The sequence below is a fragment of the Homo sapiens genome, chromosome 20 (genome assembly GCF_000001405.40).
Source record: "Homo sapiens chromosome 20, GRCh38.p14 Primary Assembly".
Lineage (NCBI taxonomy): Eukaryota > Metazoa > Chordata > Mammalia > Primates > Hominidae > Homo > Homo sapiens.
In genome coordinates, this window is record NC_000020.11 from 6,933,984 (window position 1) to 6,952,650 (window position 18,667).

Genomic DNA, 18,667 nt, shown 5'->3' on the forward strand with positions numbered 1-18,667 from the left:
CTATGCTTGCCTATTGAGTTCATTCAAGTTCTAGTGTTTCACTAAGAAATAAGTATCTAGAATTAATTGGATGTGCTAGATTGAAAAGTAAATGACTAGAATAACAATAAAGTTAAGAAAAACCATCAACATCGTATGGGATATCGCTTATAAAAATTCATAGATATGTAAGAATATATTCTGAAAAATGCCACTTAACAGAGATATAATCCAGCTTTATTTTTAGTTATTGATGTGATATTTGAATGAATTTATAACAAGGAATGTTAGGTTTTCTCTTTAATTTGAATGTGCTTTTTTTATTTTTATAGAAAAATTCTATCAGGATAACTGAACTTTCTACATGTTTCTTCCTGTAGTTTGAATGCTATACAGTTTTTTTTATTTTGCTGTGGTTACTTTTATATTTTAAACATGGTTTATTTATGTGACAAAATCTAGTGTTGACCAACATCTCAATCCTCCTGCAAATCAATATGAGGAACTATAAAAATGGCTAATCAAGTAACTTCCATCTTTCACGCTTTTGTTTTTTAGTTTATCCTTGATTTCAAGTGAAACAAATTAGTAAACATACAGTAATTGTTATATACATTGCTGTATATTAACCACTTTGAATCTTTTTAAAATTTTTACATTACTTTGCATCTTGACCCTATTACTTTTTATCTGAGTTCATGTTTCTTTTTTATTTCTAGAGTTTTCATTTAGTCCTTTTAAAAGTATGTGTTCCTTATTCATACAATCGCTGTTTTTTCAATATATTTATTTCTACTTTTAGCTCTTTAAACATTTAAAATACGTTTCTTTTGTAGACTTCTAGAGTGTTTTATAATTTCTTTTTTTTTTTTTTTGAGACAGAGTCTCGCTCTGTCACGCAGGCTGGAGTGCAGTGGCGCGATCTCGGCTCACTGCAACCTCCACCTTCTAGGTAAGCAATTCTCCTGCCTCAGCCTCCCAAGTAGCTAGGATTACAGGCACCCACCACCATGCCCAGCTAATTTTTATGTGTATTTTTAGTAGAGATGGGGTTTCGCCATGTTGGCCAGGCTGGTCTCAAACTCCTGACCTCAGGTGATCCACCCGCCTTGGCCTCCCAAAGTGCTGGGATTACAGGTGTGAGCCACTGTGCCTGGCCAAGTGTTTTATAATTTCTTATTTTTCGGGTGCTGATTTTCCTATTGGTTACTTCTAGTGATACTCCCAGTTACTACCAATGATGGTGAGTTTCCTTTTACAATTTGTAGTTTTTAACAGCAAGCTCCTCTTTGATAGGGACTTGGGTTGTGGATGTGTCCGTACATCAGCCAGTGTCATAATAGCTTCATGGTTTGGACCAATATCCTGGAATAGCATTTTCCTAAGTTGCTTGGGATACAAATTCACATCCTATACTTACACATTATCTAGACTAGTTCTAATGTGACTTTGAGCCTTGATTTTTACTAAGAGATCAAGATAGATTTTTTTTAAAAAATACCATTTTTCTGGGCCAGCAGATAGAATTTTTAGTACTCCTTTCACTTAAAAAATAATTAATAAATATCATTTATTATGGAATGCTTAAAAGGGCAGATATGGAGCTAATTTATGGATCCTTTGATTAATACCTTGTAGTTTTATAACATTGATTTAGTATGTGGTAAGCTCAAGGACAGAGACAAAAATTTTGTTTTCTTTGCATAGAAATAATCATCACCAATTAAGGACATATTATGTGGAAGATATTATTCTGGGCACATTAAATACATTGCTACTTACCTTTATATCACATACTCAAGCTGGTTATTATTCTTTCATTTAACGTTTAAACAAAAACCCAAATAGGACATATACCATGGCTATGTTCACATACTTTGCTCACTTCTCACTGAAAAGAGACTAAGATTTTGTAAAATGTTATATTTTTAAAAAATGATTCCCTATTCAAAAAACATAGGAAACGTTGAAAGCACTATTATTTACTTGATCTTCTGAGTTCTGATCTTCTCTCTCATAGATATGCAATAATCTCCAGCACATTCAATGTACCAACCCAAAGTTTCGAATTTTTTTTAATGTAACACCTATAATATCCCCTGAAACTCTAAAGCTAGCAATTAGAATAACTCATTTTCGGAAATTCTGTGGGTTTTTTTTTCCATTCTTTCTCAAAATTCTGTGATATTGAAAGGGCAGGCTGATATTAAATTAAAAAAAAAATGTAAAACTGAGGGTAAGAAACTTGTGAGACAATGGCAGTCTTTGAATGAAATCCCAGGACTCCAGAGAGCTAGCTTGGAGCTACCTCTGCTTCTTAATGCTTAGCAGCAATATTTATTGAGCGTATAATACACATAAATAAACTTATTTAAAAATGGCCAACTGAAATTTTCTTGCATATTGTGAGAATTTAGGGTAGTAGTGGGGAATTACAAATCAAAGTTTCAAGACATTGCAGTGAGTTTTCTTTCTAAATATGGCCCCCACAATATCTCCCATCCTACATGCTATTCTTTCTTTCTTTTTTTTTTTTGAAACAGATCTTGCTCTGTTGCCCAGGCTGGAGCGCAGTGGCACAACCTTGGCTCGCTGCAACCTCCGCCTCCCAGGTTCAAGCAATTCTCTTGCCTCGGCCTCCCGAGTAGCGGGGATTACAGACATGTACCACCATGCCTGGCTAATTTTTGTATTTTTAGTAGAGATGGGGTTTCACCATGTTGTATAAAACAAGAATATTAAGCCTGGCTAATTTTTTGTATTTTAGCAGAGATGGGGTTTCATCGTGTTGCCCAGGCTAGTCTCGAATTCCTGACCTCAGGTGATCCACTTGGCTTGGTCTCCCAAAGTGCTGGGATTACAGGAGTGAGCCACCATGCTCGGCCTACACACTGTTCTTATAATGTAACGTCAATACTTTTCCTATTGAGCAGTGAGGTCAATGTTTCCTCCCCTTGAATCTGGGTGCGCGTGAGTGTGGCAGAAGTGATGACCTGTGGCTTCTAAGGCTAAGTCATGAAAGGTGATATGAATTCTGCCTGTTGCCATCGAGGTGCTTGCTCTCAGACCCCAGCATCCATGCAGTAAGGAATTCCAGGCCATGTGGAGAGGCCATATGTAGATTTCTGGCCAATATCTCCCAGCTGGCAGCTAGCATCAATCGCCAAACATATGAGCAAGGTATCCTTGGGGATGATGTCAGTCCTAGCCGCCATCTGACTGCAACTGCATGAGGTACCCTGAGCAAGAACTGCCTACTGAGAATAGTCAACCTCCAGAACTGTGAGATAATAATAAAAGCATTGGTATTGTTTTCTACTACTAGGTTTGGGATAGTTTGTTACACAGCAGTAGATAACTAATACAGATATCAAAATGGTAACTAACACAGAGATCAATACAAAGGTTTGCGTAGACCGATGGAGAAAGTACTCTAGTAGGTGCATATAGCATTTAGTACCTTGAGAAATAGAGAAGACATAAATAGATTATAGTGAAATAAGAGGCAGTTTGAAACATTTCCCTTTCATTCTAAAAATGACACATGTTCAGCATAGAAGACATGAAAAATTCAGGGACGTACGCAAAAGAATTTTCTTAAACTTTAAATTAGGACAATATTATAGGTATTAGTTTGTAATGTGTTTTTCTCACTTATAATTTATCTAGTTTTCAATAATTTCTCACCATATGTTTAAAAACATTAAACATATGGTGAGAAATTATTGTTTTTAAACATATTGTAAGAAATTATTAATGTTTTTAAACATATTGAAGAAATTACTGAAAACTAGAGAAATTATAAGTGAGAAAATTATATTACAAACTAGTACCTATTAGTTTAGGTATTCATGTTGAAAACAGGAAGAAACAAACATGTTGTGAGAAATTATTAAAAACTTATAACTTAGTTGTCATGCAATGGCAATTTCATGCTTAATATTCTTGTTTTATAGACTTATTCTTTCAACAAACATTTTCTAAGCCCTTTCCATAGGGAAGGTGAGAATGGACACTAAGCATGTAGGGCTTGAATTTGCTCCTTGTCATCGTGGAGATTTTAGCTACTGGAAGAAATTGGGCATTAAACAGTCAAATGAAACCATAAATATGCAATTACAATGAACAAAAAATATTGAGAAGTGAGTGTACTACATGCTAGGTTGGATAAAGAAAGAGGAAGGCAGAGTGCTAGAAAACGGACGTGAAGGATAAGAACGAATAGCTCTATGAAGTGATGGGGCTCAGAATTTGAGGAAGAGGTAATTGGATTTGTGAAGGCTCTCAAATAGGTCAGTTAAATGGATAGAAGTAAGTGTGCAGAGTACTAGGATGAGGGAAGAAGAGTCGGCAGGGGCCAATTAACAAATCCTCTCTAGTTGGATATTTAGGGTGTTTCTAGTTAACCACAACTATAAACAATGCTGCAGTGAACATTATTATATGTATGTTATACATATATATATATGCATATATATGTGGTTTTTTTTTCATTTCGTGTGTGTTTTTCATTTGTTTTATTTTTTTGAGATGGAGTCTCTGTCGCCCAGGCTAGGGTGCAGTGACACAATCTCGGATCACTGCAACCTCTGCCTCCTGGGTACAAGCGATTATCCTGCCTCAGCCTCCCAAGTAGCTGGGATTACAGGTGCCCACCACCATGCCCAGCTAATTTTTGTAATTTTAGTAGAGACCAGGTTTCACTATGTTGGCCAGGCTGGTCTTGAACTCCTGACATCAAGTGATCTGCCTGCCTCGGCCTCCCAAAGTGCTGGGATTACAGGCTTGAGCCACCGTGCCTGGGCTGCTATGTATGTATCTTCTGCATATCTCTTATTTTTATAGAATAAATTATCTCAAGTAAAATAGATGGGCCAGAGTTTGCCCTTTTTAAGGTTGTGATACACAGGGTCCTACATAACTGTTATCCAGATTTAGCTTTAGCCTTCTTCCTTCACTAGCTCCCTTCCTCTTTCCCTCTCTTCCTTCTTTCTTGTTTTTCCTTTCTTGCTCTTTTCTCTTTCTTCCTCTTCCTCCTCTCCATCTTTATTTCATCTTTTTCATTATTTTAATATGAAAATATTTCATATTTTAATCAGAAGATTAAATTTAATAAATGTAATAGGAAGAAATTAGCTTTGTTTTGCAGACATGACAATATTGGTATCCTTAAAGTTTCCTTCTTTAAAATACCAGTCCCATATTGAACATATATGAAATGTGTCTACTGATGTCCTTGACCCTTTCTCTTACATTTCTTTATTTTCACTTTTATTTCTCCTGACTTATTTCCCATTGACAATGAAGCGTGGGTGCCTTTGAAAACAGACATCTTGGGGACCTTGGTGGTTGTATGTCTTCAACGGCCCATACATGGTCTTGGATTGTGCTATTTTAACTGATCCCTAGAGGCTAATGCTTTTCTAAGCCACACACACATTTTTGGAAGATCACTGGACAATCCTGCCTGTGCATAAAATATATAAAGGCATCTTAGAGACCCCACAAGAATATTTACTAAAACCCCAGACAGACACATTTCAAGGAGATGGGAGTGAGGAACAGGAGGTTTTAGAATTACTATTGACCTGTAGGTATGTTTGCAAAATTGTCTGCTATCTCCCTAAGCTTCCCGTCAAACAAATAATTGCCTTCCACAATGAAGGGGCTAAACATATTCACATTGGGAGTGTTTGCAGGTGAAACAAGCAATCCTTGGAAGGGAAAAGACAAACTTAGAGAATGTTTGCTGAAATGTTTGGGAAGCATTTGCCATTGTAGGCAAATTCAGTGTCTGACCTGTATTATTGATTCTTGTGAGCAAATTTGGGAGGGGTAGAGGGTTTTATATCTAAGTCAGAGAAACAAAGATTTGTGGTCTGTTGGGTGCTGCATACATGGAACAGATTCCTTCAAAATTATTTAATTCTGGGTAGTTTTTCTTCTTTAAATAAACAAAGGAGTTCTATGTCAATGTGAAAACACCCATGTTTGCTATGATGATAGAGTGAGATTCACTAATAGTGTTTTCATTTGATAAAAAGTTGATGTAATTCTTAGGACAGGAGTGAAAAAGCTTAAGAAATATGATGACCTGTTCTTTACTTAAAATTTAGCCCAGTGATAAATCGTGTGGGTCTGTACTGTCCCAGGCCTAATAAAGGATTAGAAATTGGGGACCTGTCCTCAAGACACTTTACTGCCATCTGCCGGAAAATCTTCATACTAAAACTACAAATCACTGGTGATCATGCCACGGAAGGCGCCCTCTATGGTTGTGCAAGGTATAACTTGCACGATCACACAGTGACCCTCTAGGGGATATTACCAGGCATAATTAAAACATCTGGTAGAGGTTGACACTTAAGACATAGTCAGTGACCTTAAGGCTTTCTATTAGAATGAATTTTGAACTGAGAGGTTTGGATTTCCCCACTGATCCAGGCTGTAGGTAACATTATTCCATTTTGTGAGGTGCTGATGATTTGAGATGAATTGCACACAGTTTTTCCATATTCAAATATTGACTTATACGAAAGTTGCTGTGGGAAGGAGAAAAGGATCATGGAGGGTTGGGGTGGGGGTCGTCTTTGTCAACACCCCTGCAGAAATCTTGGTTTGTGCTGGCCAACATCTGTGCTAATATATAAACTGGAGTTGTTGGCAGCAGGATGGGAAATCTCCAGGAAGACAGCCTCTGCTAACCTTTTTATTTTCCTTTATTAAATGCTAGGCTGGAGGTAACCACATAGATCTGAAAATGCCGCCTGGTTTAATTAGCCAAGACTTTCAGGAAGACAAGTAACAAATGACAACTTAATTAAACACAATTAAAACATTTTAGAACTTCTTGAGGCCTCTTTCAATAGGGCAGTGATTGCAGCATGAGAGGAGGCCATGGAAAGAAAGGCAAGGTGCTTTCATTTTCCTTTTCCTTACTTTTTTGGTCACAGCTCCTTTTTTCTCTTCACTATTAGAAATGCAGCTGGATCCTATTTATAATCCATTTTCACATTTGTTTGAATTAAAATCCCAGATTGTTGTGCTTTCAAGGTTGAATGTGCATGGCAGCCAACATTTATCCAGCCATTTCAGGAGTTACTGGGTAACTGGGCTCCAGGAAGGGAAACCACACCATGCGTTTGAGCCACAGGGAGGAGAGAGAGAAAACAGACTCACACCTAAAACCTCTGACATCACTGTTGTTTGGAGAGAGATTGTTCTGCTCTGAACATGTGCTCCCTACTTAAGACTCTAATTACTCTAAATTACTTAAATGGGCCCTAATACCTACGTTTTATTATTTGATATTAAAGAACAAGCCATTTTATGAAGAAATTCATGAAGCAATCAAAATATTGGCAACCCATTCTCCCAGTAGAAAGCCTGGACTTGGAAATACCTATGCTTTCTACCCTACCACCTGAATTCTAATCTGAGAGCTGCCGTGTGCTCTCCCCCAGCCTTTTCCAGTATCCTGTTTATGTCTAAATCCAATAGTCCAGCCATGCCAGCTTGTTACCACATGGAAAACTCCACTGCTCAGAGAAAGTTATGAATCCCTATATTCTTTATGCTTTAAGATTCACTATGACATCTCAAAGTAATTGGCCAGGTAAACCTACCAGATGGTTTTTGGGGGATGAGGAATAGACTAATAATTTCCATTAGCATAATATTGTTATTATAAAGATTTAATGACTTCACTGATGTGGTGTCCTGTCCTGGTGGAAAGTTTATGAGCCAGAAATAAAATAATACTTATGGGTACCCATGAGGCTATTTGAAAGAAGTAGTAGAGAGGTTAATGAGATCTCAGGTCCCTAAGGCTCCTAACAGAATGTTCCTATTTGAGCTGAGCTAAGTGATATGAGAAGCACAAGGCAGGCTGCACAGGGGGCAAGGGAAGCTCAATGCCAGTCGTGCGTCTGCTGCAACATTGCAAATTGGAATGAGGGCTCTGATCTGGCTTTGGACTGCCTGGATTTCATTCCTGGCCCCATTGTGCACTGATGTGAACACCTTGGGCTTGTTACTTAAGCAATTTGTGCTGCAGGTTTTCATCTACAAAATGGATCTAATAGCAGTATGTAATCAGTGGTTGTCTTGAGGAATGAGGCGATCCTCACAAAAGTCTTAGGGCAGTACCAAGGACATAGTAAACATGTACTGCATATTCACCGTTATTATTTTTACTAGTTGCAAATCATCAGCCTGTGCTGAACCTTAATTTCCTAATCAGTCAAGTCAAAGAGGTTGGCCTAATTCTGAAATTCTGTGATTCTATAAGCCAGAATCCTGATATAATTAAAAACTATTCTGTTTTGAAATTTGAATGTGGGCTCTGTTCTTTGCGACCCATCACCAGACTTTGGAAACAAAGTGTATTGTACAACAAGTGTTAACTATTAGAATCAGAGTTCTGGGGAAGGGCCGTTGAGTGAGGAAGAGGCTCCTACCTTGCAGACAGAAGGAATGGTGATAGTCATAACTTGTACTTGTGGTAACTTGTTTGGGAGGTCATTAGTCTCCTTTGTCTAGGGGTCATGGAGAGGAGAAAACGTGGTTATTTTCTATAGGGGCTTAGAAATGGATTATTGAGACTGGTCATCCTTAGTTATCAGATGCAAGAACATATCCTTCTCCTCTGACAAGGAAGTATCTTCCTCCATTTTCCTCTCTTTTTACAGAAAAGGAGAGGATACTTTTGGAAATACAGGGCAATGAATCAGGTGGTTGCTGCTTCTAGCTGGGATAAGTCTTGTATTTCCAGCCCTACCAGTTGCCTGTGTCTAGTAGCAAAAATAATACATGCCCCTTGGTTTTACAAGAATTATTTTGGTTTCTAGTTGTCTGACCGTAATCAGGCAATGTAGTTGAACATGCTCTGGGAATATGATCGAATAATCCATTAGGCCATTGACTTCTCTGTCTTGTATACACAGAGCAATTGCTCTTTTCTCCTGTAAGGAAGACAATGTGTCCTTCTTTTTCTTCCCATGTGGCTTCAATACAAAAGTTATCTGTCCCTTTAGTTATAGTTACCTTGGTGAAAAACATGAATGTTCTTGAGCTTTGCATTAGATCAGCCATATTGAGGAAAACTTTGACCTTCAAATCTTTACACTGTTGAAACAGATGAAGCCAAGCTCCCTTTGCAAAACCATTTTTTGTTTTGAGGTAAAAACACAGTTGATTTTGGCTGGGTGTGGTGGCTCATGCCTGTAATCCCAGCACTTTGGGAGGCCAAGATGGGTGGATCACAAGGTCAGGAAATCGAGACCATCCTGGCTAACACAGTGAAACCCCATCTCTACTAAAAATACAAAAAATTAACCGGGCATGGTGGCAGGCGCCTGTAGTCCCAGCGACTGACTCGGGAAGTTGAGGCAGGAGAATGGCGTGAACCTCCTCTGCCAAAAATGCCCTTCTCCTCTTGCCATATGTCTTGAGTGTGTAGGGACATGGTGTGCCCATAGATAACCCAGGAAGAACTTCCCTCCAAAATCCAAATTCCTAGGAAAGCAACACATTAATAAATGAAGGCAAAGGTCATTAAAGTTTCTTTTAAGCACATTGCCTGGTTTCCTTGAGGGGCAATGTTGATTTATTTTTCTTATTTTATTTATAAGAAAGCAAATAATTTATGTGGATAACTTACATATCTTTAAACCACCCGACTTTGTATAAATAGCGTTTCTGTCTTTAGCTGCAGGTGCAGGACTCGGGAATCTCCTCTTTTGAGTACCCATTGATTGGCATTTCAGTATTTGCAGTTAGTCCATGTGGTTCCATTGAGGTTAAACACTCAGCCCCATGAAATTCAAGCAGTTCATTTCCTATTCAAACAAGTTAAATGCAAGAGAGAAAATGAAGATAAATTCCTCAATGGACCAAGATAAGCTGGCTGGGTGAGGAGAAAGATAATTAATCAATCTTAAGCCAGCTCTGATTCTTCTAGGTTTTATCTTTGCAGCTTTTGGTGGTGACCTTCTATCTCTGAATCTGACTGATTTCTATCTTGCTTTTACACCTAAGGCATTTCAGTAACAAGGTCGAAGGGGGTTGGAAGTTGCTCCCAAATAGTCCTTCTATTGAGTGGATTCCCCTGGGTATGAGGGGAGGCAGGGAAAGATATGTAGCAGGGATGACCTTAGAGAGAAGCAGGATGGGGTTCTCTTTGTATGAAACACCAACAATACAAATAATTTCTTACGGAAAACTTATTAGGAACCAAACTTGAGGTCAACTGGCTCCTTGCTAATCAAAGCGTGTTTGTAAACCGGTGGCATTGATATCATCTCCTGGAAGCTTGTTAGACAAGCAGAGTCTCAGGCCCTGCCCTCCACCTCCTGAATGAGAATCTGTATTTTCCAAGATCCCCACATGATCTATAATGCACCTGGAAGTTTGATTCTTCTTGAGTCATCGTTGGCTGATGGCCACAGTATTTAATATTTGCTGGTCCTCAGACCCTTGATACAAAATTTTGGCATTTGAGGAAAGAGTAGACTATATTAAATAGCTGATTATAGCAAAAAAACTATTAGTGGTAGAATTGGGAAAGGTAATTTTTATTCCCCCATCTGTCTCTAATCAGCTAGACGGCCTTGAGAAAGTCATTTCACCTGTCTAGGTCTCAGGGTATTGGTACTGATAACTTCTAATGATTCTGACTACGATATTTAATGGTTGTGTGAATATAGGACTCTTGATATATGGAACGAGAAAAGTTCACTTAAGAATTCGTTGCACCAAACACTTAGATCAATACTGCATATATAGGGTGAGAATTCTTTCTGTCCATACATTTCAATTTCATAGCTCCCTCCTCTTTCATGTTGCACAACCAAATCATCAAGCCCATGGTGGGGCTGCTTGGTTGATTTGTAAAAACCGTTAAAATGGTTGCAGAAATGAAAACTGCAGCCAAATAGCGTGTAGTCCCTCAAAATGTGACTCAAGAACAAAAAAGTAAAAATGGTTTTGTTTCCAAAAGGGCTGTTGAAACATACAGGTGAACATGTTAAAAACATGGCTGGACCATCAAATACTTATGGCTAGATGCTCCAGTGCTTCCAGAACCTGAGACTTGAGTTTCAGCTGGATCTTTCATATACTTTATATAATGTAAACTATAATAAGGCATAAGGTTCCATGTTTTCAGCTATGGAAATATAGGCAAGAATATATTTATATATGTATATATATACACACATATGTATGTATACATACACAATAATGATATATATAATCTACATATACATATCATACATTTTTCTCAAATTTCAAAACACGATTACATCTTATTCAAATGATTCTCAGGAGAATTATTTTTTGCTTGTTAAAGTTCATGTTATCTATAACCCAATTAAAAGTTTATCGATGAAAACTTTCCCAAACCTATTGAGATTTGGTCATTTGCCTCTAAGATAGCATTTATGTTAGTTTGATTAGCATCATAATGAGTCATTTATCAACTATCTTACTCATTGGGTTGTAAATTCTTCAAATGCAGGAAAATTGATTATTAATATTTGCCCTATGAGTGGCTACAGTAGTTCCTGACACATTGCAAGTATATGGCAAGTATTTATTAAATTAAATTGAGTTAGTATTACAGAATATCTTGACTCCTATTGTTGTTTTAATTAATTTTTAAACATTTCCAAATTTTTTATTTATGAAACTAAGGCCAAACTACATTTTAGAATAATGACAATAGGATAGGATCTAGAAGATTCAGAAGGAGTGCAAATCTCTGAAAACAATCTACTGCATGTACTGGAGAAAATTTCAGGAAATTTTTATTCGTTGTACAATTTAAGAAGACACAATTTCCACAAAGCTGGGACATAGCTTGATAATGAAAAGACAATGGTTGCAAGGAAAAGAAGGTACAATAAGATAAAATTACAAGGAAAATCAAACAACTAACCAAGCTTCAACATTAGAAATAAATATTTGCTCCTGTAGGGCAAGTGGTGCTAAGAAATATCTCTAAACTAGAGAACAAATTTGGGAAACACTCTCAGAAGTCAGAGGAAAAGCCAACAAATTAAAGATGATGAGAAAGTAAGTGATCAATAAGGAGACTAGTGAATAGAGGGATGACTTCAGAAAAACTCTCACTTTCCAAATGAGCCATTGGGAAAAATAGATCAATAGCAATTTATCAAAAAGATGTTAACTGAGGACTGAGGTTTGCAGAATTATAGAAAGCATCATTTTCCTTCTCGTGAGCAACTATCATGTTATAGTCAAAACTGGCACATAGGGCTTATACGTAGCCTCATCTGGGCAAATGTTTCAAAGTGAAAGGACTTTAATTCTGCAAGTATCCAGACATGGAAGAAGTGTAAAAGGCTAGCAGACAAAATCATAAAACTCAGGGTGGCCTCTGGCATCTTATTGATACAAACATTTTCTAAAGATAATTGCATGCGGGCAATGGATAGCTTATAAATGAAGAAAATCAAGTTATGAAAATGGATTTATCATTACTTCAAAATAATGAAAGAACTTAAAATAAGTAAAATGTAATCACGAAACTATTACGTATTATGGAAGAGAGAAAAACAATGTTGAGATTTGCGAAGTCTGTGATAGCATTAACAACGTTTATGTAAAAGTTAAAAACATAAAATAAAATATATGCTTTAACACTCATATACATGAGGTAAAAATTTTAAAAACATATATCAAATGCAGATTAATTTGTAAAAATGCTTGCACATGGAGAAGAACGAGAGTTAGGGCAAAGAATATAGAAGACGGTGTTTGACTGCTCTGTTTTATTTTAAACACACCTAAAGCACATTTGAACGAATTTTGTTCATTTTTGGATGGCAGATAAACAGTGTTTGTAATGCTAGCCTTTGCAATTTTCTATACTTGTTCTTAGTTTTAAAAAGAAAAGCAATTATGACAAAATTGAGACATCAGTTACCACATCTCAAATTAACAGTATAGGTGTGTGTAAACATGTATATATATGTGTGTGGCTTGTATATGTCTGTGTGTATATTTGTGAATGTATGTATAAATAGATGCATATCTATATACACATACATGTATACACACATATATACATATATACACACATATACATAGTCGAACACACACACACACATATATGGATGACATATTGATAAGGGTTAGGTTAAGAAAGCTTTGCTGTCCTTCACTTTAAGTGAGGTCTATACTGTCAGACATAATATCAAAAATCTTAATTCCCATTTGGAAATTTGCCTTTTGATCTAGTGATAAACTCCACTAGGACTTTATCCTAAGGAAATAATAAACATTTAGCAGAAACAAAATGTACCACTGTATTTATTTAATAATTCTTGTATCCATTTATGAAATATTTATCAAGCACCTACTATGTTCACGGAATTGTCTCAAATATTCAAAATCTCAGCCTGCTGAAAGTTCATGGCATATTTCTAGCAATGAAAAATTTGAATTAAAGATCACAGAAATACCTAACAAGGATTGATTAGTTTATTATAATTGTGTTTATATATTAGAAAACAATTTTTCCATTTAAAATAATTTTATAAATTTTAAAATATATTTATAACTTTTTAAGTAACATATAACTTACATAAAATAATTTACATGCTATGACCATACTTGTAAATTAATATGCTTACAAAACTGCTTTAAAAGATGTTATTTATTTTGGGATGTTGTGGGATGTTGTAAAATATTTAGGCTTTGCTTCTATCTATGTTTTCTATTTTATCACTAATAAACATATATATCATGACAATAAATATAATGTTTTCAAAATTAAAAACAAATGTAGAATATAATTTTTATAGGATAATATCTGTAATACATAAAATCTACATTTAACTTTTAAATAATAAATTAAAACCTTTGGAATCAATTTCCAGAAAAATACTGAAATTAATATTGCCATACCCATTACATATTTACTTTATTTTAACATTTTTGAATGGTACACATCCTTTGACCCAGCAAGTACATCTCTAAGGATTTAATTAATAGATACACTTACACATGCACACAATGTTCATTTCAGCATTGTTTGAAATAGCACAACTAAAAACAATGGAAATAACTATCAATTAAAGGATGAAGTACAATCCACATAATAGGATGTTTTACAGCAATACAGATAATGAGGCAGCTCCCCATAAACTGATATGAAAATGGAAAAAAAGATACAGAATAATAAGTTCATTATAATATATTTTACTAATTAATTTGTACATATATAAATATAAAGCATTAATAAGAATCTGACGTTTTTATTTTTTTTTGGCGGGGGAGAACAGAGCCTCGCTCTGTTAGCCAGGCTAAAGTACAGTGGCTCAATCTCGGCTCACTGCAACCTCTACTTCCCGGGTTCATGCAGTGCTCCTGCCTCAGCCTCCTGAGTAGGTGGAACTACAGGGGTGCACCACCAAGCCTGGCTAATTTTTGTATTTTTAATAGAGACAGGGTTTCACCATGTTTGCCAGGCGTGTTTCGAACTCTCGGCCTCAAGCGATCCACCCTTCTCTGCCTCCCAACGTGCTGGGATTACAGGCGTGAGCCACCGTGCTTGGCCATATGATTATTTTTGGTGAGGGTAAGATTTTATACTTTTCATTTTATATCATGTAATACTGTTAAGTTTCGTTTTTGTTTTCAGGTTTTATGATTGAAAACTTTACATATATATTTCAAAAATAATCTGAAATAAAATGTTCTATTAGTCTTTCTCTTTGTATGTATTGATGACAGTATACACATATATTTCATCTTAAATTATAAATAGTCATAAAACTCCATTCAAATCTATTTTGTAATAACCACTTTCACTAAGTATAATACCATTTTGAGACAGCAATGGGACAACAGTCATCTTAAAGATATTTTACTCTCTTTCTTTCTGAAAACACAATGATAGAAAGTATTTGCACATTTGAACTATAGTCTATGGGCATCTTTATTTCCTTTGCATATCTTTGAGATGACTGTATTTACTTTCTGAAGAACTCATTTATTCAACAATTTGATACAAAATTATCAGAACTTAATTTTGTGTACATCACTGTTTAGCAAGTTCTTGTACACAGCAGAGTGTGCGATCTAGAAATCTTTGGGCCATATGTAGCTTACTGATGGCTCAACTTTTTGGCTCAGAACACTGCTGAAAAGAAAAGTAAAGGAAAATGTAATTCTTGCCAGGTGCCGTGGCTCACGCCTTTAATCCCAGCACTTTGGGAGGCCAAGACGGGTGGATCACTGGAGGTCAAGAGTTCGAGACCAGCCTGGCCAGCTGAAACCCTGTCTCCACTAAAAATACAAAAAATTAGCGAGGCGTGGCGATGGGTGCCTATAATCCCAGCTACTCGGGAGGCTGAGGCAGGAGAATCACTTGAGCCTGGGAGGCGGAGGTTGCAGTGAGCCAAGATCATGCCTTTGCACTCCAGCCTGGGCAACAAGAGCGAAACTCAAGAAAGAAAAAAAGAAAAGAAAAGAAGAAAAGGAAAGAGAGAAAAGAGAGAAAAGAAAAGGAAAGAAAGAAAATGTAACTCTTTGCTAACGAACTAGCATTTTAAAATTGGAAGATTTCTCATAGAACTCGCATGTTTTGTCTCACCCACCTCGAAAAAATCAGATCTTAAATTTGACCTGCATTCCCACTGAGAAACTCTCGCTAGAACTAAAGAGCAACTGTTTCCTTTAGTTCGGGCAGGCCGAAAACTCCCCTATCTTTCGTAGTCCCCACCAGTCCGGAATTAGTTACACCCTGTTTGTGTGGCCTTATTTGTTCTACATGCATCCCAAGTTTATTGCCCACGAATTAAAAGAAGAATATGGGCAGAAGGGAAAAATAGCTCCATGAGGAATTAAAACATACTAGAAAGCTCGAAACAATTATGATAGTGTGGTATTGAACCACAGATAGACAAATTGACCAATGGACTAAAAGAGAAAGCACGAAATAGAAACAAGTACATATGGAAATTTAGCATGTGATAAAAGTACTGTCTTAAACCACTGAGAAGAAAAGCAGCAACTTTTACATATATGATGCAGGGACAATGCATTAGCCATTTGTAAAAAGAAAAATTATATTCAAACCTCACGCTGTAAGAATAAACTTCAAATGGCTTACATATCTAAACACAAAATAATGAAACCACACATGGACTAGAAGAAAACATGAATGGATTTCTCCAACCTCTAGGGTAGTCTAGGGAAAGACTTTCTAATCATGGCTCAAAATCTAGAGGTAAGGAAAGAGAAGATTGATAAATTTCAGTGCATAAAACATGCATTAAAAATTATAGCCGGGCACTGTGGCTCACGCCTGTAATCCTAGCACTTTGTGGGAGGCCGAGGAAGGTGGATCACTTGAGGCCGGGAGTTCAAAACCAGCCTGGCCAACATGGTGAAACCCCTTCTCTAGTAAAAATACAAAAAAATTAGCTGGGCATGGTGGCGGGTGCCTGTAATCCCAGCTACTTGGGAGGCTGAGGTAGGAGAATTGTTTGAACCTGGGAGGCGGAGGCTGCAGTGAGCCAAGATCGCCCCACTGTACTCCAGCCTGGGTGACAGAGCGAAACTCCATGTCAAAAAAAAAAAAAAATTATAAACAAGTCAGAAGATGAGTAAAAGCTGGAGGAAAATACTCATGAGTTCATGATACATACCACAGACATAGTTAATATCACCAATATCAGAGAAATATTATAAATTATGGAGCAGAGTTCTAAAAACCTGATAGAAAAATGGCAATAGATACAAACAGGTAATTCACAATAAAGAAAATAAAAATAGCCTTTAAAATATTAAAAAAGCTCACATCTATTCATAATTAGAAAATCACAAATTAAAATTATGCTTTTTCCCATCTATTGGATTGACGAAAATTTCAAAATAGGACAACACATTCCGTTGGCAAGGCTCTGGGGAAATAGCCACCCCTTACATTGCTGGTAGCAATGCAAATTAGAGGGACCTTCTGGAAGGAAACTTGGCAATATCTAAGAAAACTGCATGAACCCTTATCTCTTCACCCAGCAATCCTACCTCTAGGAGTCTATCCTGAAGATACATTTCCAATAATACAAAAATAATTGCAGGGAAGATTGTTCACTGCTGCATTGTTTGTGATTTAAAAATATTAGAAATGGCTGGGTGTGGTGGCTCACACCTGTAATCCCAGCACTTTGGGAGGCCAATGTGGGCAGATCACCTGAGGTCAGGAGTTCAAGACCAGCCTGCCCAACATGGAGAAACACCGTCTCTAATAAAAATACAAAAAAAAAAAAAAAAAAATGAGCCGGGTGTGGTGGTGGACACCTGTAATCCCAGGTACTCAGGAGGCTGAGGCAGGAGAATCGCTTGATTCTGAGAGGCGGAGGTTGCAGTGATCCAAGGCCGTGCCACTGCACTCCAGCCTGAGCGACAAGAGTGAAACTTCGTCTCAAAAAAAAAAAAAAATTACAAACAACCTAAATGCTCATGTACAGTAGTTGAAGAAATGGTGGTGCAGCCCCACAGTGAAGTCCTGCTGTGCAGCTGTGTTGCTGAATGAGGATGGTTTCTAAAAATGGATATGTGGTGACATCCAGGAAACACTGTTAAGTGAAAAAGACAAAGCATTAAGGATGCCTGTAGTGTGCTACACTTCATGTAAGAAACAAGAGGATATTGTAAAATATGCATGTGTCTGCTGATTTGTGTCAAAAAGTGATACAGGAAGGATAAACCAGAAAATAAAAAGGCTGGTTGGTTATGTATGGGGTGTGTGTGTGTGTGTGTGTCTGTGTGTGTCTGTGTGTGTCTGTGTGTTCTGGAATACAAACAATAACAAATGAATGCATAATCACAGAGAAGAAAGGGAGAAGAAATGAGCTGAGTAGCTTTAAAATGACAATATTTAGTCTGCAAAGTTAAGGTAAAAGACAAAAAGCACTATCTACGAATATTCTTCTCTACTTAATAAATTTGTTTCTGACATATGTATAGGTTAGCAGCTCTGGAACTACTTTATATGTATACTAGGATTGAACAAATGAGTAAATATATTGTGGATACTGAGAGCTGGGTTTCTCCCTATCAGAGAAACAAAATACACACAAGGAAAGAGGGAAGGCTGTGGTGCTGGATTGAAGTTATAGGATCAGTATGAATTTATGTTTGTTTATATATACTCACACACATACACATATGCACACAAACAGGTGGATAGATAAATAAATATACATGTTTGTGTATGTGCGGGTACATATACAGATGACTTTTTACCTTTAACTGCTGCAAGGGCCTAGAGGCAATGGCACTTGGGCAGCAATCAGCATGCCTTCCATCAAGATCTTAGTTTCTAAATATTATTCTCCAATAAAAAAGATAGACTCCTTGGTTAATTTCAGGGATAGGGTAGAGAAAATACCAGATGAATGTGGAACTTCTCTTGGTGACAGAAAGTTAGAAAGTGCTTTTTATTAAAGAAAGAAAAAAAAAAAGGCCGCTTGTAAAAGGACACAGAATCTACCCAGTAGGAGTTCTCAGCAAAAACTGGCACTAGTATGAGCCCAAAACATGATATATTAAGTTATAACACACAGAACAAAACAAGTATCCATGGAAGTAACACAAATAAATAGCCAAATAATAAAAAAGGAGAAAGGACAGCTCTTTTTTACTGTAGAATTTC